Source organism: Homo sapiens, chromosome 3 (assembly GCF_000001405.40).
Source record: "Homo sapiens chromosome 3, GRCh38.p14 Primary Assembly".
Lineage (NCBI taxonomy): Eukaryota > Metazoa > Chordata > Mammalia > Primates > Hominidae > Homo > Homo sapiens.
The window spans coordinates 23,337,004-23,363,295 of record NC_000003.12 but is presented as its reverse complement, the minus strand read 5'-3'; the positions used below and the strand labels follow the sequence as shown (position 1 = coordinate 23,363,295).

At 38.1% G+C, this 26,292-nt stretch overlaps 1 protein-coding gene across 5 annotated transcripts in view, besides 1 other annotated feature; it reads right to left on the bottom strand.

Annotated features, from left to right (window-relative positions):
- Positions 1 to 26,292, bottom strand: part of UBE2E2 (ubiquitin conjugating enzyme E2 E2) — a 388,828-nt gene that overhangs the window by 228,630 nt on the left and 133,906 nt on the right. The window lies entirely within an intron of this gene.
- Positions 13,264 to 14,463: an enhancer, noted in NCBI's record as "CDK7 strongly-dependent group 2 enhancer chr3:23390324-23391523 (GRCh37/hg19 assembly coordinates)". NCBI's record gives its function as "activates an origin of replication core promoter dependent on BRD2, BRD4, P300/CBP, MED14 and CDK7 cofactors, with strong dependence on CDK7, by STARR-seq in HCT116 cells {active_cell/tissue: HCT116}" and the evidence as "EXISTENCE:reporter gene assay evidence [ECO:0000049][PMID:35650434]".

Here is a 26,292-nt window from a genome sequence, read left to right as displayed (position 1 = left end):
ATATGCAGGTCTGATTTCATCATCATGTTGTTAGCTGGTTATCACACAGACTTGATTGTGTTGCTGCTTTATAGCATTACTAGTCTACGTTCTTAAATGTGTTTTTGTGATGGTTGGTAACACAGTCTTTCCTTTCTATATCTAGCACTCCCTTCAAGACATCTTGTAAAGCAAGTCTGGTGGTAACAAATACTCTTAGCATTTGCTTGTCTTAAAAGGATCTTATTTCTCCTTCTCTTATGAAGCTTAGTTTTGCCAAATATGAAATTCTTGGTTGGAATTTCTTTTCTTTAAGAATGCTGAATATAGACCCCCCAATCTCTTCTGACTTGTAGGGCTTTTGCTGAAAAGCCTGTTTTCACTGTTAGCCTGATGGGGTTCCCTTTGTAGGTGACCTACCCCTTCTCTCTAGACACTTTACAAGCAACAGTAGGCTGCACCTTCTTCCTGAGTTCTCACAGATGTGGGACTGTTTGCCAGAAGTTCTAGCAGGCATTGCTACCTGGCTACCTGTGACAGGGTTGGGGTGAGGTCACTCTCCCTTTTGTCCAGGTGTTTCCCAGGACAAAGGGAGGTTGCACCCTCTTGGTAAGTTCACACAGAAGCTGGACTACTGAGCCAGAAACTCTAGCAGGCATTGCTTGCCTGGCTACCTGTGGCAGGGGTGGGTAGGGTGGCCCACCCTGCCATCTGGGTCCTTCCTGGGACAATAGCAAGCCAGGACCTCTGTCCGAGTTCAGACAGAAGCAGGACCACTAGGCCAGAAGCTGACACCAAGCCTCATCCAGCAGGGATGGAGGGAGGAGGGCAGAAGTGGTGTAATCTTACTGCTCCCAGGCCCCATGACTGAAGGTTCTATTGGTGCTATGGTGCCAGTGTTGGTCTGCTCCAGGGCCCAAGTCTCAAAGTGGTCTCCTTGGACTCGAGAGTTGCCCCCACACAAAATGGGCTCTCTGCTTCAGCCTATAAGCGCAGGGGGATGTGCTCCCCCAGGAAGCTCACACTCACTCATTCTTTCCCATGTTTGGGAGGTTCTCCTGGCTCCACACTGAGCCCAGATAGATTGATGCCCTTCTTTGTTCCTCTCTGCTCTCTGTGTCCCCCTGCTGCCTTGATGGACCCTAATGTGGTTTCTCAGATCATCAGCCTACAGGGTCAGGGTTAACTAGCCCTTTTGTTTTATCTCCATGAGAGTGGTGCACATTAGGTGCTACTAGTTCACCATTTTGGCCCCTTCTTCCTGAATTTGATTTAAAGTGAATTCGTTTTAAGGAGCTTTTTTATGAAATTATTCTCAGATATGTACCCACTATTTATGAGATTAAGTATGTATACAATTAAAACTTTTAAATTACATAAGATTATACAGATAGTGGTCTTGTACTATACTCAACATTCAAATACATGATTTTCTAAAAAATGGTTCTATGGCTAAAGAATATCCAATAATACCTTGTATTTTATTGTATTTATTATTTTTATATGAATAGTTTTTGGGGATGCAAGTAGTTTTTGGTTACATGGATAAGTTCCTTAGTGGTGATTTCTGAGATTTCAATGCACCCACCATCTGAGTAATGTACACTGTACCCAACTCATCCCTCACCCTGCTCCCAACCTTTCCTTGAGTCCCCAACATCCATACCACTCTTATGCCTTTGCATCCTCATAGCTTAGCTTCCACTTACAAATGAGAACATAGAATATTTGGTTTTCCATTTCTGAGTTACTTCACTTAGAATAATGTCCACCAGCTCCATCTAAGTTGCTGCAAAGAACATACTTCATTCCTTTTAATGGCTGAGTAGTAGTCCATGGTGTCTATATACCACATTTTCTTTAACCACTCATTGGTCAACGGGCACTTAGCTTGGTTCCATAACTTTGCAATTATAAACTGTGCTACTATAAACATGTGTGTGCATGTTGTCTTTTTCACATAATGACTTATTTTCCTTTGGGTAGATACCCAGTAATGGAACTGCTGGATCAAATAGTAGTTCTACTTTGAGTTCTTTAAGGAATCTCCACACTGTTTTCCATAGTGGTTGTACTAGTTTACATTCCCAGAAGCAGTATAAAAGGACTCCCTTTTCACCACATTCACACCAACATCTATTATTTTTTATTTTTAAATTATGGCCATTCTTACAGGAGTAAGGTGGTATCTCACTGTGGTTTTAATTTGCGTTTTCCCGATAATCAGTGATGTTGAGCATTTCTTCATATTTTTGTTGGCTGTTTGTATATCTTCTTTTAAGAAATGTCTATTCATGTCCTTTGCCCACTTTTTGATGGGATTTTTTTTTCTTGCTGATTTGTTTGCATTCCTTGTGGATTCTGGATTTTAGTCCTTTATCAAATGCATAGTTTGTGAATATTTTCTCTCGGTGGGTTGTCTGTTTACTCTGCTGATTATTTCTTTTGGTGTGCAGAAGCTTTTTAGTTTAATTAGGTCCCATTTATTTAGAAATTATAAAGAAATTTCTTGAGGAGCTCAAAATGTTTCATACTAAATTTACAAAAGTGGCTCATCTTCTTTCAAAAAGGCTACCTTCCATTCAAAACAGGGTAAAATCCCAGAGGAATGATGTTAAATGCCAAACAGGTAATCTTTCAAAAATATAGCTGTACCTCATTTATTTGACACCACTGGAAAATGAAGTATTAACTGGAAAATTCACCATGAACCTGAAGCTAGTCCTGATAGGTCCCCCGCATACCATGTCAGGAAGATTTCATTATTATCTCTTCTTCTATGCTCTCCAGAAATATTTTGAACACTACCATCAAAATACTACATCATATTCTAATTATTTTCTTATGTCTATTTGAACAATTACATAGCAAGCTCTTTGAGGACAAAGAACATGTTTTATTCATCTTTGTATCCACAGCATTCAGTACTGTTCTGGCACACAGCAGAAGTAAAATTAATCTTTGTTACACAAAGGAAGGAAGGTAATAGGGAGAAAGGACTCACTTTTTTTTTAACACTGACTTTTTTAAAACGAATTTTTCTAAGTTACAGCACTCACTTCTTTTTGTTACTGTACAGCATAAACATGCTGAACTTTTCTGGATGACTATGGGAATACTTTGGAACATCGTGTCACTCTGCTATAATAATGATGTCTTACAGTAATATTCAAATACTTAGGCCCTTTATAAAAATTCATCTATTATGGGGCCTTTCCATTTGGGGATACTATTTCTGATCTGAAAGAAGAACTGAAGACTGCCAAGGAAAACTAATTAGACCAGCAGGTAAAACCACTAACCTGAACACTGGGGAGAGTCCTAGATCACTCCTGGGGCATCAAGAGAGAGGACTGGCTTTCTGGTGGCAGCTCAGAGATTTTTCTCCATACCCTTAACAATTCAGGGATGTGATCCTACAGTCAGAGTTTAGAAAGCTAGTTCATATTTCATTCAATTAGAAAGCTAGTTCATATTTCATTCAATTATCTATGTTTCATGAATCTCCCCTGTCTGAGTACACTGGAATTCCAAATTTTCAAGGTGTCCTCAAGGTGCAAGTATAATTTCCTGAGTAATAAAATTATTAATTATATAAAAAATAAAAACACCTCCATGCTCAGCTAAGAATTACACAAAGATAAGGACATATCATTAGAAATTTCCAGAGAAAGGCAAAAAAAGAAAAGTTCTGCATCTTAAGTTGGTTTCTAAACGTGCTACAAATTTTTTTTAATAGATCAAAGATCATTTCAAATATGCTACCATTAAAGCTGTTTCCAAAATCTGTAGACACCAGTTATAGAGATTATGAAAAAGTTATTTACAAGCAACTTTTAATTCCAAAAGAAGGAACAAGGAGATAGTCTTTTGTTTAGAAAAGAAATTTGTACTATGAGCTAACACTAGCCCATTCATATCTGGCCTGAGGAATCTAGGTGATTTCTCCAGTCCTCACTGCTTATGAAGGCCTAGTACAACTCTTATCTTGTTGATCTACATTCTAAAAACCTGCCAGAACCATATTTCTCAAAGGAGATGTTAGCAATAAAGATGACAGGACCAGCACTCTGCCATTCCCCTTAGCAACATCATTAGAGTAGGGAAATGATCCTGAAAGAGTACAAGAAACACAGGCAAAGACAAAAAACTAGTCATTTGTCCAGAGTCCATGAAAAGCAGCAAATAAAGAATCTGAAAAAAGGTAATGTTCATGATGTTGAATAGTTGAATAGTCAAAAACGGCAATGAGATCAGATCATGGCTGCTTCATGATCATCCCCTTGTCTCTGCCACTCCCATTCCAAATCTCAAAAACAGTATAATGAAAAGAACATACATGTGGATTCAAATTTTGCTTCTAACACTTTGTGGCTAGGTACCCTTGGTCAATTTACTGGATATATGTGAATGTTAATTTTGACAAGGTAATAATAGGACCAAAGGAGATACTACACATAATAAATAGGTAACAATGCCTAGACATAAGCAAGCACTCAACAACCCATGTTAGTTCATGCACAATGGCACAATAACTTAAAGCACATCAGCTTTTTTGCTTTCCATAGCAAGAAATATTTAGATATTTAAATACTTAATTTCAGTTCTGTTATTCTTACAGCTACTTTTTAAATAAAAGAGGTAGAAGCAAAATAAAAAGCATGATTGTTTTAACCATATAATAAATTATTTGTAATTTATAATTGTAGACCAGTATATGAATTTAATTCTCAGATTGTTTTTTTCAATCCTAAAATAAAAGTCTCAACTATCAGCTCAGTTTTTTGCAAACGTACTTATTGATATTTGATGCAGCTGTTAGAAACTAATTTCCACCACTTCCTTTAAAGAGGTTTGTTATATAGAACATTTTATTGTGACAAACATATTAAATGTTCCCAGACTAATTTTATTGGCAGGGCTTGATGAACCTTTAAGCATCATTGTGAACCATCACCACTGGTTCTGTGAACCATCATACACAAAGTTATTTTTCTAAAATCTAAGTTCAGTATGTTTGTGTTTGCTCTGTTGAAATGAAATCAGTAGTTGCTGACTGAGAGCTCTCATTCAACATAGCTAATTCAAAACCCTGACAGAAAAACAAAGGGCAACTACAGTACATATAAATATTTTTTCAAGTGGTCCTCCTATCAGTTTTCTTCCTTTTAAAATAGATTTCTGGGCCAGGCACAGTGGCTCATGCCTGGCCTAGCATTTTGGGAGGCCAAGGCAGGCTGATCACTCAAGCCCAAGAGCTCGAGACCAGCCCAGGCAAAATGGTGAAATTCCATCTCTATAAAAAATAAAAAAATTAGCCAGGCATGGTGGTGCACACCTGCAGTCCCAGCTACCTGGAAGGCTGAGGTAGAAGGATCACGCTTGACGAGGTCGAGGCTGCAGTGAGCTGTGATTGTGCCAGTGCATGCCAGCCTGGGTGATAGCGTGAGACCTTGTGTCAAAAAAAATTAAATAGATTTCCTTCCGTCTTCGAAGATTTACCAATTTCAGAAGAATTTTTTCCTAAATGTAGACACCGTATGTTTATAAATAATAAGGAGTCAGATACTGTTGCTGGGGTCAAATCGCCCCTCAGAGATACATCTAAGCTTTCTGTATTTCTTTTAATGGTCTCTCCATTCAATATATTTACTGTTTTCTGGAAACAGAAGCTGCTGATATGGAGCTCCCATAGAGAATTAATGGATTTAATGGGAAGGCTATGCCCTCATACTCTTCAGATCCTCTTGGGAACATAATTCCACATACCATTTTAAGACAGTAGGATTATTTAAAAAAATGCTAAACCTGCCTGTTATGCTAGATATTAAGAACTGAAAAAGAATCAAATATTTTCTATGGATATAATCTCATTTATGTGTATGCAGATATACATATACACACTCACACACACACACACATATCTCCAGGCACTGGCATCCTCAAGATTCAGTAAATAACCTGCCCTTTAGGAAATATTTTAAAGGTTATTAGACAATGGGTAGATTAAAAAAAGCACTTACGGTAACAAACACCATTATAATTTCTTGCTTCTCAGAAATCAATAATCACCACAAAAACCTTACACTGCCCAAATAAGGTGTACTAGTGACTTTGTACTTATCCATTCTGATATCCCATTCCTTCCGGCCCATGCAAGGGTTGTATTTCCCCACTCCTTGCAGTGAAGTAAGACCATGCAACTATTCTGGCCAATGATACTTAAGCCAGGTCAAAGCATTTAATTGCCAGTGTGAGACTTTCTACAGAATCTCCCCTCCCTGCCATAGCAATCATGGTGCCACAAGATCAAAGCAGTCTGGATTGCTAAACTACCAAGACGAAGTCAGTCACCCCAGAGAATCACCCAGTTACACAGTGTATCTGTGTGAGGAGAAATAAACTTTTGATGGGTTAAATCAGCGGTCCTCAACCTTTTTGGCACCAGGGACCAGTTTTTCAGAAGACAGTTTGTCCATAAACTGGCACCAGGGGTTGGAGACCTGTGTTAAATAACTGAAATTTTGATGTTGTTTGTTATGCAGCATAATTTAGCATAACCTGATTGACAACAGAGATTTAGTGTTTCTGTGCTTCCACCTAAAACTACTTGGAATTGATATGAGAAGATTTTCTAAAAGAGAATACTCTCAGGCAAAAATTTTACAGTGTAAAGGACACTGATGAGGAGCAAACTTTTTTGGGATACATAAAAGAAAGATGAGAAGTTGAGTCAAGGAATGCACTTGGGTATAAGAGGAGATGAGATAATTAACAAAAATAAATTCGGGATAAGTTTTCAGGAAACATATGAAGGTGAGAAATTTGTCTGCAGTTAGTGTCAGAATGTACCACCACAGGCTGACATCAGGATGAAGCCTTAGTCCTAACCTCACATGATTCTTTCACTTACCTAACACTGCCTAACTGCAGATTTACTCTGCTCAACTCTGGGAATAGTTTCTGAAATAGCATGAAATATTTGTCTATTTCACAACAAAGATTTGTTACGTGTGACTCTTTATTGCCCTGTAGCCCTGTAGGTTACTGTCTGGCTTAAACTCTTGATCATCTAAATTCAATGGGTATATACCATAATGTTCCCTGACTCTCTTCCTGGGTTCTGATTTGCCGCTTTCTCCTGACCCTGAGTAAGGTCCAGACTGCTTGTCTGACTTGCTGTACCAGTAGCAGTTTAGGTTTAACTGAGCATCAGGTCTACTCTGCTACTCAGTGCATCCTCTTCTTTTTCCAAGCCCAGCTTTCTATACAATTAATTGCAAAACTCATCAGATCTGTATTTCTAGCTTTAATGAAGTAATCAATTCAATCAGTTGATAGCTGGCAGCCTCCTGTGTAAAACAAGAAATGGCAGGATCTAACAAAATTCAGAAAGTCTTAGATGATTTACGTAAGAGATATAATTTTCCTCAATGCATTTAGAGAGAGGTATGTACGAACTGCATAGACTGCTTTATATGCTCAGTAAATACACATGAATCGTAGCATAGTTCTTCTCCTTTAATAACTGTTATAGAAAAAGGAGGAATGACAGTATTGCTCATGCAATACAGGTTTTATAGATCAGAGATTTTAGTATCTACGGAGACTGTGACAGTAATTTATAATTTAAACTTTTCCAGCACAGTAGGTATAAACTGGTCAGCCACAATCCAGGGCATGAAACAAACAAACAAAAAAAAGTAACTGTATTTTCTAAACTTGTTTCTAGTTACAAGTCGCTATTTCAAATCATCACAGGAAAAAAATCAACCGTGTCATTTAAAAAGGCATCTCAGTATCTTCTGATTTAAAACACTTTGCTTTGGCTGTTTAATCCATAAAAATTTCTACCCCTCCCTACAGTTATCTCCTCCCTTCTTACCAAGTTGGCATTTGGATATAAGAGGAAGCATGACTTCTTTTTTGTCTTTCATTATTATTATACTTTAAGTTTTAGGGTACATGTGCACAATGTACAGGTTACGTATGTATACATTTGCCATGCTGGTGTGCTGCACCCATTAACTCGTCATGTAGCATTAGGTATATCTCCTAATGCTATCCCTCCCCCCTCCCCCAACCCCCCACCAGTCCCCAGAGTGTGAGGTTCCCCTTCCTGTGTCCATGTGTTCTCACTGTTCAATTCCCACCTATGAGTGAGAACATGAGGTGTTTGTTTTTCTGTCCTTGTGATAGTTTACTGAGAATGATGATTTCCAATTTCATCCATGTCCCTACAAAGGACATGAACTCATCATTTTTTATGGCTGCATAGTATTCCATGGTGTATATGTGCCACATTTTCTTAATCCAGTCTATCGTTGTTGGACATTTGGGTTGGTTCCAAGTCTTTGCTATTGTGAATAGTGCCGCAATAAACATACGTGTGCATGTGTCTTTATAGCAGCATGATTTATAGTTCTTTGGGTATATACCCAGTAATGGGATGGCTGGGTCAAATGGTATGTCTAGTTCTAGATCCCTGAGGAATTGCCACACTGTCTTCCACAATGGTTGAACTAGTTTACATTCCCACCAACAGTGTAAAAGTGTTCCTGTTTCTCCACATCCTCTCCAGCACCTGTTGCTTCCTGACTTTTTAGTGATTGCCATTCTAACTGGTGTGAGATGGTATCTCATTGCGGTTTTGATTTGCATTTCTTTGATGGCCAGTGATGGTGAGCATTTTTTCACGTGTTTTTTGGCTGCATAAATGTCTTCTTTTGAGAAGTGTCTGTTCATGTCCTTCGCCCACTTTTTGATGGGGTTGTTTTTTTCTTGCAAATTTGTTGGAGTTCATTGTAGATTCTGGATATTAGCCCTTTGTCAGATGAGTAGGTTGCGAAAATTTTCACCCATTTTGCAGGTTGCCTGTTCACTCTGATGGTAGTTTCTTTTGCTGTGCAGAAGCTCTTTAATTAGATCCCATTTGTCAATTTTGGCTTTTGTTGCCATTGCTTTTGGTGTTTTAGACATGAAGTCCTTGCCCATGCCTATGTCCTCAATGGTAATGCCTAGGTTTTCTTCTAGGGTTTTTATGGTTTTAGGTCTAATGTTTAAGTCTTTAATCCATCTTGAATTAATTTTTGTATAAGGTGTAAGGAAGGGATCCAGTTTCAGCTTTCTACATATGGCTAGCCAGTTTTCCCAGCACCATTTATTAAATAGGGAATCCTTTCCCCATTGCTTGCTTTTCTCAGGTTTGTCAAAGATCAGATAGTTGTAGATATGTGGCGTTATTTCTGAGGGCTCTGTTCTGTTCCGCTGATCTATATCTCTGTTTTGGTACCAGTACCATGCTGCTTTGGTTACTGTAGCCTTGTAGTATAGTTTGAAGTCAGGTAGCGTGATGCCTCCAGCTTTGTTCTTTTGGCTTAGGACTGACTTGGCGATGCAGGCTCTTTTTTGGTTCCATATGAACTTTAAAGTAGTGTTTTCCAATTCTGTGAAGAAACTCATTGGTAGCTTGATGGGGATGGCATTGAATCTATAAATTACCTTGGACAGTATGGCCATTTTCACGATATTGATTCTTCCTACCCATGAGCATGGAATGTTCTTCCATTTCTTTGTATCCTCTTTTATTTCATTGAGCAGTGGTTTGTAGTTCTCCTTGAAGCGGTCCTTCACATCCCTTGTAAGTTGGATTCCTAGGTATTTTATTCTCTTTGAAGCAACTGTGAATGGGAGTTCACTCATGATTTGGCTCTCTGTTTGTCTGCTATTGGTGTATAAGAATGCTTGTGATTTTTGTACATTGATTTTGTATCCTGAGACTTTGCTGAAGTTGCTTATCAGCTTAAGGAGATTTTGGGCTGACACGATGGGGTTTTCTAGATATACTATCATGTCATCTGCAAACAGGGACAATTTGACTTCCTCTTTTCCTAATTGAATACCCTTTATTTCCTTCTCCTGCCTAACTGCCCTGGCCAGAACTTCCAACACTATGTTGAATAGGAGTGGTGAGAGAGGGCATCCCTGTCTTGTGCCAGTTTTCAAAGGGAATGCTTCCAGTTTTTGCCCATTCAGTATGATATTGGCTGTGGGTTTGTCATAGATAGCTCTTATTATTTGGAGATACGTCCCATCAATACCTAATTTATTGAGAGTTTTTAGCATGAAGTGTTGTTGAATTTTGTCAAAGGCCTTTTCTGCATATATTGAGATAATCATGGTGGTTTTTGTCTTTGGTTCTGTTTATATGCTGGAGTACATTTATTGATTTGCATATCTTGAACCAGCCTTGCATCCCAGGGATGAAGCCCACTTGATCATGGTGGATAAGCTTTTTGATGTGCTGCTGGATTCGGTTTGCTAGTATTTTATTGAGGATTTTTGCATCAATGTTCATCAAGGATATTGGTCTAAAATTCTCCTTTTTGGTTGTGTCTCTGCCCGGCTTTGGTATCAGGATGATGCTGGCCTTATAAAATGAGTTAGGGAGGATTCCCTCTTTTTGTATTGATTGGAATAGTTTCAGAAAGAATCGTACCAGTTCCTCCTTGTACCTCTGGTAGAATTCGGCTGTGAATCCATCTGGTCCTGGACTCTTTTTGGTTGGTAAGCTATTGATTATTGCCACAATTTCAGAGCCTGTTATTGGTCTATTCAGAGATTCAACTTCTTCCTGGTTTAGTCTTGGGAGGGTGTATGTGTTGAGGAATTTATCCATTTCTTCTAGATTTTCTAGTTTATTTGCGTAGAGGTGTTTGTAGTATTCTCTGATGGTAGTTTGCATTTCTGTGGGATTGGTGGTGATATCCCCTTTATCATTTTTTATTGCATCTATTTGCTTCTTCTCTCTTTTCTTCTTTATTAGTCTTGCTAGCGGTCTAACAATTTTGTTGATCCTTTCAAAAAACCAGCTCCTGGATTCATTACTTTTTTGAAGGGTTTTTTGTGTCTCTATTTCCTTCAGTTCTGCTCTGATTTTAGTTATTTCTTGCCTTCTGCTAGGTTTTGAATGTGTTTGCTCTTGTTTTTCTAGCTCTTTTAATTGTGATGTTAGGGTGTCAATTTTGGATCTTTCCTGCTTTCTCTTGTGGGCATTTAGTGCTATAAATTTCCCTCTACACACTGCTTTGAATGTGTCCCAGAGATTCTGGTATGTTGTGTCTTTGTTCTCGTTGGTTTCAAAGAACATCTTTATTTCTGCCTTCATTTCGTTATGTACCCAGTAGTCATTCAGGAGCAGGATGTTCAGTTTCCATGTAGTTGCACGGTTTTGAGTGAGTTTCTTAATCCTGAGCTCTAGTTTGATTGCACTGAGGTCTGAGAGACAGTTTGTTATAATTTCTGTTCTTTTACATTTGCTGAGGAGAGCTTTACTTCCAATTATGTGGTCAATTTTGCAATAGGTGTGGTGTGGTGCTGAAAAAAATGTATATTCTGTTGATTTGGGGTGGAGAGCTCTGTAGATGTCTATTAGGTCGCTTGGTGCAGAGCTGAGTTCAATTCCTGGGTATCCTTGTTAACTTTCTGTCTCGTTGATCTGTCTAATGTTGACAGCGGGGTGTTAAAGTCTCCCATTATTATTGTGTGGGAGTCTAAGTCTCTTTGTATGTCACTAAGGACTTGCTTTATGAATCTGGGTGCTCCTGTATTGGGTGCATATATATTTAGGATAGTTAGCTCTTCTTGTTGAATTGATCCCTTTACCATTATGTAATGGCCTTCTTTGTCTCTTTTGATCTTTGTTGGTTTAAAGTCTGTTTTATCAGAGACTAGGATTGCAACCCCTGCCTTTTTTCGTTTTCCATTTGCTTGGTAGACCTTCCTCCATCTTTTATTTTGAGCCTGTGTGTGTCTGTGCCCATGAGATGGGTTTCCTGAATACAGCACACTGATGGGTCTTGACTCTTTATCCAATTTGCCAGTCTGTCTTTTAATTGGAGCATTCAGTCCATTTACATTTAAAGTTAATATTGTTATGTGTGAATTTGATCCCGTCATTATGATGTTAGCTGGTTATTTTGCTTGTTAGTTGATGGAGTTTCTTCCTAGCCTTGATGGTTTTTACAATTTGGCATGATTTTGCAGTGGCTGGTACCGGTTGTTCCTTTCCATGTTTAGTGCTTCCTTCAGGAGCTCTTTTAGGGCAGGCCTGGTGGTGACAAAATCTCTCAGCATTTGCTTGTCTGTAAAGTATTTTATTTCTCCTTCACTTATGAAGCTTAGTTTGGCTGGATATGAAATTATGGGCTGAAAATTCATTTCTTTAGGAATGTTGAATATTTGTCCCCACTCTCTTCTGGCTTGTAGAGTTTCTGCCGAGAGATCTGCTGTTAGTCTGATGGGCTTCCCTTTGTGGGTAACCCGACCTTTCTCTCTGGCTGCCCTTAACATTTTTTCCTTCATTTCAACTTTGGTGAATCTGACAATTATGTGTCTTGGAGTTGCTCTTCTCGAGGAGTATCTTTGAGGCGTTCTCTGTATTTCCTGAATCTGAATGTTGGTCTGCCTTGCTAGATTGGGGAAGTTCTCCTGGACAATATCCTGTAGAGTGTTTTCCCACTTGGTTCCTTTCTCCCCGTCACTTTCAGGTACACCAATCAGACGTAGATTTGGTCTTTTCACATAGTCCCATATTTCTTGGAGGCTTTGTTCATATCTTTTTATTCTTTTTTCTCTAAACTTCCCTTCTTGCTTCATTTCATTCATTTCGTCTTCCATCACTGATACCCTTTCTTCCAGTTGATCACATCGGCTCCTGAGGCTTCTGTATTCTTCACGTAGTTCCCGAGCCTTGGCTTTCAGCTCCATCAGCTCCTTTAAGCACTTCTCTGTATTGGTTATTCTAGTTATACATTCGTCTAAATTTTTTTCAAAGTTTTTTACTTCTTTGCCTTTGGTTTGAATTTCCTCCTGTAGCTCGGAGTAGTTTGATTGTCTGAAGCCTTCTTCTCTCAACTCATCAAAGTCATTCTCCGTCCAGCTTCGTTCCATTGCTGGTGAGGAACTGCGTTCCTTTGGAGGAGGAGAGGTGCTCTGCTTTTTAGGGTTTCCAGTTTTTCTGCTCTGTTTTCTCCCCATCTTTGTGGTTTTATCTACTTTTGGTCTTTGATGATGGTGATGTACAGATGGGTTTTTGGTGTGGATGTCCCTTCTGTTTGTTAGTTTTCCTTCTAACAGACAGGACCCTCAGCTGCAGGTCTGTTGGAGTTTGCTAGAGGTCCACTCCAGACCCTGTTTGCCTGGGTATCAGCAGTGGTGGCTGCAGAACAGCGGATTTTTGTGAACGGCAAATGCTGCTGTCTGATCGTTCCTTTGGAAGTTTTGTCTCAGAGGAGTACCTGGCCGTGTGAGGTGTCAGTGTGCCCCTACTGGGGGTTGCCTCCCAGTTAGGCTGCTCGGGGGTCAGGGGTCAGGGACCCACTTGAGGAGGCAGTCTGCCCGTTCTCAGATCTCCAGCTGCCTGCTGGGAGAACCACTGCTCTCTTCAAAGCTGTCAGACAGGGACATTTAAGTCTGCAGAGGTTACTGCTGTCTTTTTGTTTATCTGTGCCCTGCCCCCAGGGGTGGAGCCTACAGAGGCAGGCAGGCCTCCTTGGGCTGTGGTGGGCTCCACCCAGTTTGAGCTTCCTGGCTGCTTTGTTTACCTAAGCAAGCCTGGGCAATGGCGGGCGCCCCTCCCCTAGCCTCGCTGCTGCCTCGCAGTTTGATCTCAGACTGCTGTGCTAGCAATCAGCGAGATTCCGTGGGCGTAGGACCCTCCGAGCCTTGCGTGGGATATAATCTCCTGGTGCGCCGTTTTTTAAGCCCGTCAGAAAAGCGCAGTATTAGGATGGGAGTGACCCAATTTTCCAGGTGCCGTCTGTCACCCCTTTCTTTGACTGGGAAAGGGAACTCCCTGACCCCTTGCGCTTCCCGAGTGAGGCAATGTCTTGCCCTGCTTCGGGTCGCGCACAGTGTGCTGCACCCACTGTCCTGTGCCCACTGTCTGGCACTCCCTAGTGAGATGAACCCAGTACCTCAGATGGAAATGCAGAAATCACCCGTCTTCTGCGTCACTCACGCTGGGAGCTGTAGACTGGAGCTGTTCCTATTCGGCCATTTTGGCTGCCTCCCTGAAGCATGACTTCTTTTACTGTCCTTCCAGGATGGCTTTTCATGAGCTTCACTTCTCAGCATCAGGTTTTGCTTTGACTTCATCCACTTGGTCAGCAGGCAAGCTGTGCCAGTAGTTGCAGAGAGATGTCCAATCTCTCTGTTCACAAGAAATCTGCATAGAGCTGCCTCCTCCTCCCTCTTGAAACCAAGCCAATTTCAGTCTTGCAGCCCACTCAGTACTATCAACTCCTGCGGGGAGGTGGTGGGGGGGTGGTCAGGGGATAGTCAAAACTCTTGGTTGCTTTCTCTGCATTACCCTGGAGTGTGCAGAACCCTATAAAAACTGCCCTTTGGCTTTGTCCTTCATCCTTTATTCATTACTACTGTGCTATGACAGAGATGGCACTTTGCTCCAAACAAGACTTTCCAAAAGTCTGTGGGTTTTGCAGGCCATACCCAGAGAAACCCTAGCAACAGCCTGCAGTTTTAGGGATTACTCTTTGGCCTTTGTGAAAGTTCTATTTTGTTTCACCTCTAAGATAAAGGGAACTTATTCCCTCCTCAGGGCCCAGGTATCATTCTTACCCTAGCCTCACCCACTCTGAATCTATGTACCTCAGTCCCCCATACCTAAATGGGATGGACTGACCAGTCCTTGGTGTCTAGAATTACTCTTCTTACTATGATTATGACATAAAATAATCCTCCAAATATGCTTTTTGTTAGGTAAAAACCCAGCTTTGGAAGTTCTCAGAAAATCCTTTAACCACTTGAATGTCTGGCTATTGTCTTATCTTTGAACTTTGAAAAAGAAAAAAATCTACTTTCTAATTCACAATTAAGCTTCCCTGTTCTAGGTGGTAACCCTAGCAATAAGCTTTAGCCTATGGACTATTCTTTTTTTTTTTTTTTTTGAAAGCAGCACAGGCTCATTTTATTCCCACCCTTCTGTGTCCAGATTTCCTGTTCCCCCATCACAGAATTCCACCAGTGGCCATGAAAAACCATGCAGCAGGAGCATTTATGCAGAGAGATAAGGTTCTCTAGGTTGATTTCAATTGAACATAGTGACTGGTTCATTGGAGTTTTCACATTGAGATATAGTGACCTCCTTAAGTAGCCCCTGTATGAAGTAAACATTGGTTATTCATACCATTGTCGTCTTGCGATGATTGATGGTGAGATGTGTCCTACCCCTCTCCTTTTGAATAGGCTTCAGTGTTTACAGGGTGCTTATGAACCCCTTCTTTTTTTTATTATACTTTAAGTTCTAGGGTACATGTGCACAACTGGCATGGCTTTATATGGAGTTTATTATAGCCTACCACAAACTTATTAATAAGAAACAGTGTTCCAGATATTAGGTCATCAACCAAAGATAAGTGCAAGATATTTTCTTTTCTTTTCTTTTCTTTTTTAAGGATGGCTCTAAGAATAAACATTCCTCACTTGATTTAATGACAAATTGAGACACAGAAGTAGTAGTTGGTGAGAGGGAGATTAAAAGGGTCCCCTTTTGTAGCTGATAAATACGTTGGAAGAAATGTAATTTATTTATTATTATACTTTAAGTTTTAGGGTACATGTGCACAATGTGCAGGTTTGTTACATAGGTATACATGTGCCATGTTGGTTTGCCGCACCCATCAACTCATCATTTACATGAGGTATTTCTCCTAATGCTATCCCTCCCCCAGGCCCCCACCCCACAACAGGCCCCAGTGTGTGATATTCCCCTCCCTGTGTCCATGTGTTCTCATTGTTCAACTCCCACTTATAAGTGAGAACATGTGGTGTTTGGTTTTCTCTCCTTGTGATAGTTTGCTTAGAATGAGGGTTTCCAGCTTCATCCATGTCCCTGCAAAGGACATGAACTCATCCTTTTTTATGGCTGCATAGTATTCCGTGGTGTATATGTGCCACATTTTCTTAATTCAGTCTATTATTGATGGACATTTGGGTTGGTTCCAAGTCTCTGCTACTGCGAATAGTGCCACAATAAACATATGTGTGCATGTGTCTTTGTAGCAGCATGATTTATAATCCTTTGGGTATACACCCAGTAATGGGATGGCTGGGTCAAATGTATTTCTAGTTCTAGATCCTTGAGAAATCGCCACACTGTCTTCCACAATGGTTGAACTAGTTTACAGTCCCTATGGACTATTCTTAACAGCAGAAAGTGGAGGTGGGCAGGGATGTAAAGAGAGGGAAGTAGCATGACAAAAATGGAAAGGCACAGGATAGCACTGAAGATAGTATATCACCCTAAGTACTAATGGCCATAGAGAATAATTCCACTTCAAGGGAAAGGGGCTTCTGATTATAAATCTTTCATACTGTAATACTAATAGTAATACATTACTCAAAACAGGGCTCATATGTAACTTAGTCTTCTCCTTCAGAAAGCAAGGTGAATTAGAAGTTTTCATATATGAACGAAGTTTTCAAAAACATCACAAAGAATCAACAAAGTGTGTTTTTCCATAGTTGTTCATGACTCTATAATGAGTAGAAAAGTAAAAGGAACATACCGAAAAGAAAGGAAAAGTCTACATTTTTCTAATGGCATGAATAAATGGTTAAAACTTTATGCATGGTAATGGAAAGTAACATTAAGTACATTTTAGGGATAGCATTTAAAAGAGAACATCTTATTAATTAATATGCAATGCATTACACAGTCTTTAGTGAAACAGTGAACACTTTTATAATTATGAATTTTTGTGTAGCTTTTAAAATGTCACCAATATCGGTCAAAACAGCATCATGTCTCAACTGATGGACTGCTTGCAGACCTCTGACAGCTAAATACATTTTACTGAAAGTCATGCCTTAACAGGTGAGAAAATGTCATCTTCAACCTGTGTGTGATGATGTGATGATAGTATCTGAAAGCAAAATCTGTACCCAGTAGACTAGAGATAAAAGGTACTAATCTTTTACTATCTAGGATATTAACGATTCAACTAAGGGCATTTACCAAATGTTGGACAAATTTTCATATGGCTCAGTATTTTAATTAAAGAACACTATTGTTGTATGTCCTACAAAATACTTAACTTTTGTTGAAATTCAACAGGCTCTGAGTTTGTCTTTCACAATTACTTATTGGCTTTAAAAGAAACACAATCTTAGAAATTGCCTTTTAAGAAAGGCGAAAACTAGAAGTAGGGGGGCTTAAAAATAAGAAGGGAATACAATGCATTCCAGTAGAACAACAAACGAATCACACAGAACTGATTATATCATAGCACCATGATTGATTAGATCAGCAACAGTTGAAAACCATTAGTTTCTGCTGTCTGCCGTTGGTGAGATGTTTTTCTTCCTCCTCTACAGTGTGGTGTCAGTTTATCACTTTCCTACTCAGGCACTGCTTGAGGCTCTGCTAACCTTAAATACAAATTTGAAAGGAATGAAGAAAATATTTTAACAATAAAAATGTTGTTCACATATTAATCAAATATACAGCAGCAATTTCTCCAAGGACTGTGAAGAATATTTTGTAAAGGCAATTTAAATGCTTAACATGACATTAAAAAAATCAATTTATCTATTTAGTGCTTCTATAATTTTATTGTCTGTAATTTAATGTCTATAACTTTAATTTACTCAATATCAGTGACTTACTCTTCCTATACCTATTTTCTTCCACAACTACTAATTTTGTGAGTAATTTGTCAATGCTATTGTGTTAAGATAAAGTTCAAGTTCCTTCTTAAGTACGTAATACTTAAGAGGTGTTGGTTATGTGATAATTATTGCAATCAAAGCTCTAAAGAATGTTTTGCCACGTATATTTTAAACCACTTATGGTAAATAATAAGTAACAAAATTATAAACACACAAAAAGTTGTTGTATTGAATCTATTATATTGAAAACTGCTATATTCTGTAAAATATTGTCTTCATTAACCTGTCCCAAATATTAATAACCAATAAGAGTTTAATACCAGGTGTCCAAATAAAGAACAGCTCACAGTCTTCAAGGAGGTATGAACCTAACTCTTTCCAGTGTATAGTCACTTAATTTGCTGTTTGCTACAATAATAGTTATACTCAGCTTATAAAGATCAGTTGCAATTTTAAGTGCACTGACAGGCAGATGGTCTACAAATTCAAAGTCATCACAATTGATCTCTAGTCAGAGGCAGAACTAGAAATGTGCAAATAAGTGCAGCTGTACTGACACCTATTTAAGGGCAAAATTCGTTTCCTCCTCTTTCAGAATCTCATGAGGATATTTCCATCATTCAAGGCTGCACACCTGGGGGAGAGTCCACAATGGAATTGAGGATAATGCCTTACATATGCAATGTTTTCTCTCCTCATAAAACTTCTTTTTCAAAAAAAAAATCTTTCCTCATTAATTCATTCATCAAACATTTAATGATCACTTATGTGCTAAGTATACAACATTTAATTTTTTTTTTTTTTAATACAGACTGGGTCTCGCTCTGTCACCTGGGCACAATCCTCCCATCTCAGCCTTCCAAGCAGCTAGGACTACAAGCACACACCACCTCACTTAGTGTGTGTATGTGTATATATATATATTATTTTTTTTGAAACAAGGTTTGTCTCACTATGTTGCCCAGGCTAGTTTCAATCTCCTGGCCTCAAGCAATCCAAACCACATCACCCATGCTCTCATTAACATCAGTACTTTAATTCTTAATATCTTCATTCATTCACTCATTTCTTGCAGCAGGATCCTTTAGGGACGCAACTCGGAGAGACTGGAAAGTGGAAAAAGGAGTGGAAGTAATTATACTCACGTTAAAACTGAAAAAAAAAAATTCAAAGGCGTTAGTTTGCTTCATAAAATCTGCCCCAAATTACATTAATGACTGAGGCGCAAGGTTTTTGTGGCTCTAAGGCTTTTTCACATGAGCCTTCGGTTGCCCAATATGTGACCTCTGGATGTGTTTCTTGGAAGCTTTCAAGAGTCGGAGGCTAGAAAGTGGGGAGTAAACTGGCTGTCTCTATTGTAAGATGACTGAGACCTCAGTATGAAGGACTGAAAATTTCTTAACCAGATAAATCAAAGTACTCATGCTTGAAGAAAAACAGGTTGAACATAATCAATAACATGATTAGACATCCCCAAATCTGTAAACTCCTGATAAATCAGGACTGAAAAAAAATCAAATCAAAGTAGCTAATTTGCAGAATAATTAGCACAGTACATCTGCAAATTTAAAGAGAGTTCACTTGAAAACTAGATTTAGTTGATATTTCTGGTTTTTAAAATCCATTTTGAATGATAAAAGTAACAAATGATTTAAGTCCAAACTGAGAACTACCCATAAACATAGAATGAATTATGATATAATCACACAATGGAATATTACACAGCAATAAGAATAAACTACAACTACATAAAATAAGTACGAATCTCAAACAATATTGTGCAGAAGAAACCAGACATAGGAAAGTAGTACTGTATAATTCCACTTATGTACAGTCCCAAAACAGTCAAAACTTATCAATGGTGTGAGAAGTCCAGACAGTGGCTAAGTGAAGGAGGCACGAGGTCTCCTTGGAAAGGAGGGCTGGCAATGTTCTTTTTTTAAATCTGGCACCGATTACACAGATGTGTTCACTTGAGGAGCATGCCACATACTTCACAAAAGTTTACTTTAAAAGTAATACACATGTTCACTTCAGAACTTTTTTTCTTTTTTTAGATGGAGTCTCTGTCGCCCCGGCTAGAGTGTAGTGGCGCCATCTCGGCTCACTGCAACCTCTGTTCCCCAGGTTCAAGCGATTCTCCTGCCTCAGCCTCCTGAGTAGATGGGACTACAGGTGAGTGCCACGACACCCAGCTAATTTTTGTATTTTTAATAGAGATGTGGCTTCATCATGTTGGCCAGGCTGGTGTTGAACTCCTCACCTCAGGTGATCCACCTGCCTCAGCCTCCCAAAGTACTGGGATTACACGCGTGAGCCACTGCTCCTGGCCAGAAAGTTTTTAAATTGAATATACTACATATTCAGTCTTGCGTCTTGCTTTTTTTTTTCCATTTTAGACTAAGTCCTAAGTACCTTTCCATGTCACAATGTTTCATGAACATGTTAACTCCTTCATGTACCTTAAGATATTTTAAAAATAAGAAAATGTAGTTTGTATATGTATGCATTCACATATATATATACATACTAATATGTAAGGTTTTAACATAAAATAGCAGTTAAAGACCCAATATAGGGTAAGTTTTAAGAGTTTTTCATGTCAGACCACTAGTTATGCTACCAAAAGAATAAGCACCATTCCTCCAGCACAGCAACAATAACAGCAGAAGTTCCCCACCCCCAAAAAAGTATTATCTTCAAAATTTGTCCTAAAATAACAATTCTTTTAACTTTAAGAATGGTTTCAATAGTTTGGTTGCAATAATTTTCCACAGCTATGAAGCAGAAAAAAAAATATAAAAGTTTATTCTTGGGTTTAGGACTTATTAAGAAAATTTCCCCTCCCATTTCTATCAAATTCACCTGATCAACGCAGGGTGATGCTAATACTCATTTATATTCCATAGTATTTCCAAGAAAATATACATGTATGTATTCTTGGTGTCAGGAACCAAGTCAGGAATGTTTAAATATACACATACGAATAAATAATAAAGCCAACTACAAACAAATACATTGGTGTACTGCAGAATGCATGTGCATTCTATAACCAGGGGCATAGTTTATGTAGTGTGAAAATGTAGCCTACGACCACAGAAAAATTCACACAATCTCATAGAGACTAAAGTGAAATGTTTATAAGCACGGAAGAGAACATTTTTATCTGCGGAAGGAAGAGCTCTCCTATCATATCCCCTCCTGTGCTAAATAAACTATGCAATCAAATAAGCTAAGGTCCTGGGCAACATGGAGAAACTCCATCTCCACAAAAGATTTGATGGATGGTACTGTGTGCCTAGAGTCCCAGCTATTTGGTAGGCTGAGGTGGGAGGATCACTTGGGCCCAGGGGCTTGAGGCTGCAGTGAGCCATGATTGTGCCACTGCACTCCAGCCTGGGCAACAAAACAAGACCCTGTCTCAAAAAAAAAAAAAAACTAAACTAAATCAAAGTACCCCCCATAATGCTTAAATCCTCTTTTTAGCTAGACAGAAATAAATAGTGTTTCTGTCAATAGCTTTCCTCCCTCCTCCAACTAACCTAAATGAATTTGAAATTTCAAAGTCTCCACTGTAAACAATACATTTTGTAAACACCTAATGCTTGGGCAAGAAATCAACAAATGTTTGTTCTCTTTTACTTCCCTACTATCAATTATTAGTTTTGTTATATGGAACTATGTATACATAATTACTTAATCTTTGAAGTCTTTTGTGGTTTGGGTCTTGGTTTTGTCATAATTGTTTACATCTTCTCATTGATTCCTTTTCAGAACTAAGATAAACTGATACACAGCTAGCTGACTGCTGTTTACTTTTCACAAAGAAAAAATTGGCCAGATACTTTTGCAAGCAAATAGTTTGATCAATTACTACACTATTAAAATTACTAAAGTATTTTTAGAAAAAAAAAAGAACGAGAAGAAGGAAGTGAAAGAAAAGAGGGGAAATGATTATGCTTTAGAATACAGTTTATGCAGATAAGAGTAGCTGTGGGAGACACAGTTTTAAAATGCTACCTTTAATTTCTGTTCACAGCTGTCAGCTGGATAAGATGCTCAAATGCAGACCCTAAACCTAAGCTTACCTACACTCAAACCTTTAGCTTGTGGTCTTGAAGATTCTAGGTGAAGACACAACTAGAAAAACATATACTGTATTTATAACTACCAGAGTTCATATGTCCAAAATGAGACCTACAATGCCCTCAAGTAGAATCTCAATAGTGTGGCTTTGGGTAAATTTATCTAATTATACTTCAGTTTCTTCATCCACACAATGTGGATAAGATGAGTACTTAAACAACTGTAAAGATTAAATGAGTTAATGGGTTCCTGTCTGGCATACAGGAAGTGCTCTATAAAAGTTCATCATTGTTACTATAAGGAACATCACCACCAATAAGATAATTTGTTGCTTCCCAGTCTGCTCTTTAGGTCTGTAGTCTTACCTCCAATATTTAATGCTGCAGTTGGGTGAAAAAAATAGACTTTTAGGCTATTAGCAAGACTTACACCTTTTCAATGCAAGGCTCCTGATTCTGTGAGCATAAACTTCTTGGAACCATGGTCTGCATTTCAAAAGAAACATTCATCATTTTTGTGGCAAAGATCATTTGATGTACTCACTTATATAAGCAGAATTTCTAAGGAATCTAAAACTCTCCCACTGGTGTTGGTGCCTCATTCCTGGTGGGGGGAGTACGAAAACAAAGTGTAGGAATTGAGGAAACACAACAGAAGGATGAAAGTATATTGCTTGAATAGAAGGCAAAGAAATGGTTTATATACCGACTTTAAAGATCCTACTTAACATGACCATCCTTTTCACATGTTTCTGACTTTCAGTATTTCAGAGTTAACAAACACACCTATTGCTCCCAGCATTCAGTCTTCCCTGTTTTGACTGACTTACAGGCTACATCAGGAAATTTATTTCTAATGCAGTCCAAGAAGGGTTTCCAGGGCTAAAGATTTCTTTTTTCTTGTTTTAAAATAATTCCCACTATGGACCCACTCAGCATCTTTTTCTTTAAAAAAATTAAATGGTTTTCACGTGTCTTTTTAGAATGTCTCTGTTTAACATTTTAAAACATGTATTTTAGTGTAGTTAAGCACATTTATTTAAAGGATTAGGTGTGACTGTGTGCTTCATAATGGCAACCTGTAATTATTTTTATAATCATCAACTGTTCAGATTTCATATTTATATTTTCCAGAGCATGACAGGCACTTGCTTCACAAGAAGAAAAAAATATAGTGCATAGTAGATGCAAATTATTTTTCCTCACTTTTCCATAACCAATTTATAAATACTCTGTATTTTAGCTAAAAATTTAATGTAAATAAATGTTAAAAACTGTGCATTCTGAAAACATGATTATCAAACAGGCAAAAAGAAAAAATTTTAAAGAGTAATGGCTCTTTACAATTCAGTAGAATATATACATCTTTTATTCATTACAGTATTGTGGGAAAATCTGGAGCCTGACATACAGACACAGGTTAAAATGTCACCTCCAATATAGGTTAACTACGTAGGTCCTGGCAAAACAGTTAAGCTTCTAGGCTTCAGCTTATCCATGTATTAAATGGGAGTTAACAACTGAAAATTCACAGTATTATCCAAATATTTAAAGACTTTAAATGTTTTCCCTCTTTTCATCCTAACTCTTTTTCTCTAAATATTTCAGTATTTCCCGTTATTCCTGACAATTAAAAATAAACTAAAACAAACATAAAATTAATCACTCTGACTACTTTGATTATTTTAAATCAGGTTAAAATGAATCCATTTCTAGAAGTGCAATTACTGTATTTCAAGAAAATATTTTAAAGACACATCTTGCTAACACAATAAAAATACATCTGTTCCCAAGACAATGTTTAAGAGAATGGGAAGATTTAAAAAAAAATCCTCAAGTGAAGTAAATACTCAGGAATCAAAATTTAAACATAACATAATTATAAAGTCAAATTTAATAAAACCAACCCCACCATATCATCTCCTCTTCCCTTCATTAAATTAAAGAAAACATTTAACTAGGGTCTCTAAGTTTTTGTAATTTTTTAATTCTTAATCTTGAAATAATTTCAGACTTTACAAAGCATTACACAAAGAATTCCCATATCCCTTTCACCCAGCTTCCCCAAACATTAACATCTTATATAACCACAGTACAATTATCTAAATCAGGAAACTAATACTGATATTATTCTATTAACTGATCTATAAACCTTATTCAAATTTTGTTAATTGTCCTACTAATATCTTCCTTCTAGTCCAGTGTTTGATCCAAATACCACACTGCATTTAGTTATCAGATCTCTTTGGTTTCCTTTAATCTGGCACAGTTGCTTAGTTCATATTTCATAATCTTGACACTTTCTAAAAATCTAGTCAATAATTTGTAGCATGGCCCTCAATTTGGGTTTGATGTTTTCTATGATTAAATTCAGGATATGCATTTTGTCAAGAATACCACAAAAGTAATGTTGTGTCGTTCTCAGTACATCATATCAGAAAATGCATGATATCCATGTCTCATTATTAGTATGTCTACTTTGATTAGTTGGTTAAGAAGATGTCCATTTTCTCCACTGTAAGGTTACTATGATTCCTTTATAATTATAGTAAATATCTTTTAGTGAGATCTTTTTGTGACTGTAAATATCCTGTTTATAACCATCTTACATTGTCCACTAACTGTTCTCACCTAAAACAATTATTACTGTAGTGTTTCTTTTCAAATGGTAATTTCCTATATCAATGACTCTTCATTTACTAATTGGAATTCCATGGCAAGAAAGTGTGTTCCTTTCTCCCGTTTGAATTTACTTAATTATATCTGGATACCACTTTTTATTTTATGGGTTATGGCCCATTATTATAGTGCTCAAAGTGTCCCTAATTTGGCCACTGAGAGCTCCTTAGAGTTGGCTCATACATTCTTTTGACATGCTCCCATCATTTTTTGAACATTTTGCCACTTTCATCCTGTACTTCCCCAGTCCCAGTCCCAGTCCCCAATTCAGTTTTTCCAAGGAACTCTGGTTCCTTTTATTGGTGCCTGGCACTTAAACCCAAGATCTGGTACTGGGTGTATTGACTGGAGCTATGATGTCACTGCTTCTAGGCCCTCTCATGAACAGAAGTAAGAAATATATAAGGCATACATGTACACATACACATATATGCAACCTTCTCTTTATCTCCATTCATTCATACTGATATCTCAAATTCTAATCCAAGGTTCATTATAGATTCCCCTTTACCTTATTTCTAGCTCTTTTTTTCTGATGTTAAAAAAATTAACTCTTAATATCCACCACATATTTAGTTGCTTAATCTTAAACTACACATAAAGTTGTTTCAGAATTGCTAACTCACCTAAATTTTGTCAAGTTTTTAATGAGCCAGTTAGACTGCACATTTTGATCATAAAATGCACAAATAACATGCCCACCCACACAAATACAACCACTGGAAGTGTACCAACAAATACTTCCAGTTTTACCCATCTTGGTGATAGCAACACCAGGAAGAAATCTTAAGTAATCTTTTCTCATGGTTTGCAAGTCTTGTTTATTATACTTCCCAGGTAGCTCTCAGACTGCCCACTTTTCTCCCTCAAGGTACCACATCTTTCAGTCAAGTTGCCGCCACAGCCTTTGGTCATCTCCCCACATCCAATTTTGCTTCCCTCCAATCTCCAGGGGCTTAGCCTTTAAATAGACAAACTAATCACTCTACTTTCACTCATTTTGATGGCTTTCTCTATATGTCAGATAAAGTCTAAAATCCTCAGCGTAGCCTAAAATACACTGCATGATCTAACTCCTACCAATCTTTATAGCTTCAAGTCACTCAATATTCTCTACATTCCACCTATATTAACCTTTTTGAATTCTTCTTTCATACTCCAGTTCTTGCACATACTGTTCCCACTAAACTATAAGTACTCCTTCTCCCTACATCCCCGCCTTAGTCCTGCTAACTCTTATATATCATTCAAGTCTTCACTTAAATATTATTCCTCAGTAAAGTTGTCCCTGAACTCCCAGTCTGGGTTAGACTCCTATGTGAAATCGTCCTAAAGCACACAGCATCTCTCAATGACAATTTGTGCTAAACTCATCTGTAATTCATCAAGTAGGCCTTCCCAGCTAGATTATCAATTCCTTAAGGACAAGGACTTTGTATTGCACACTGTTACATCCCAGTGCTCGACACAGGGTACAGCACAGAAACAGGGCCGAATTAGTACTGAATGAATGCCTAAATGAATAAATGAACCAAAAGATATTATCGAAAATTAGCTAGATATAGTGACTGACAACTACCAGCAATACATAGAAACTACACTTTCTATAATTTTTATGGATGTGAAGACTTCTGGATCCTTTCTGCTGCATTATATTGCCTAGCTAATGCTGAAAATATAACTATAAAGTAGTAATCAGCTGAATTTTTTTTTTTTTTTTTTGAGACAGGCTCTCACTCTGTTGCCCAGGCTGGAGTGCAGTAGCATGATCTCGGCTCACTGCAATCTCTGCTTCCCAGGCTCAAGTGATCCTCTCACCTCAAGACTCCCAAGTAGCTGGGACAACAGGCATGTGCCA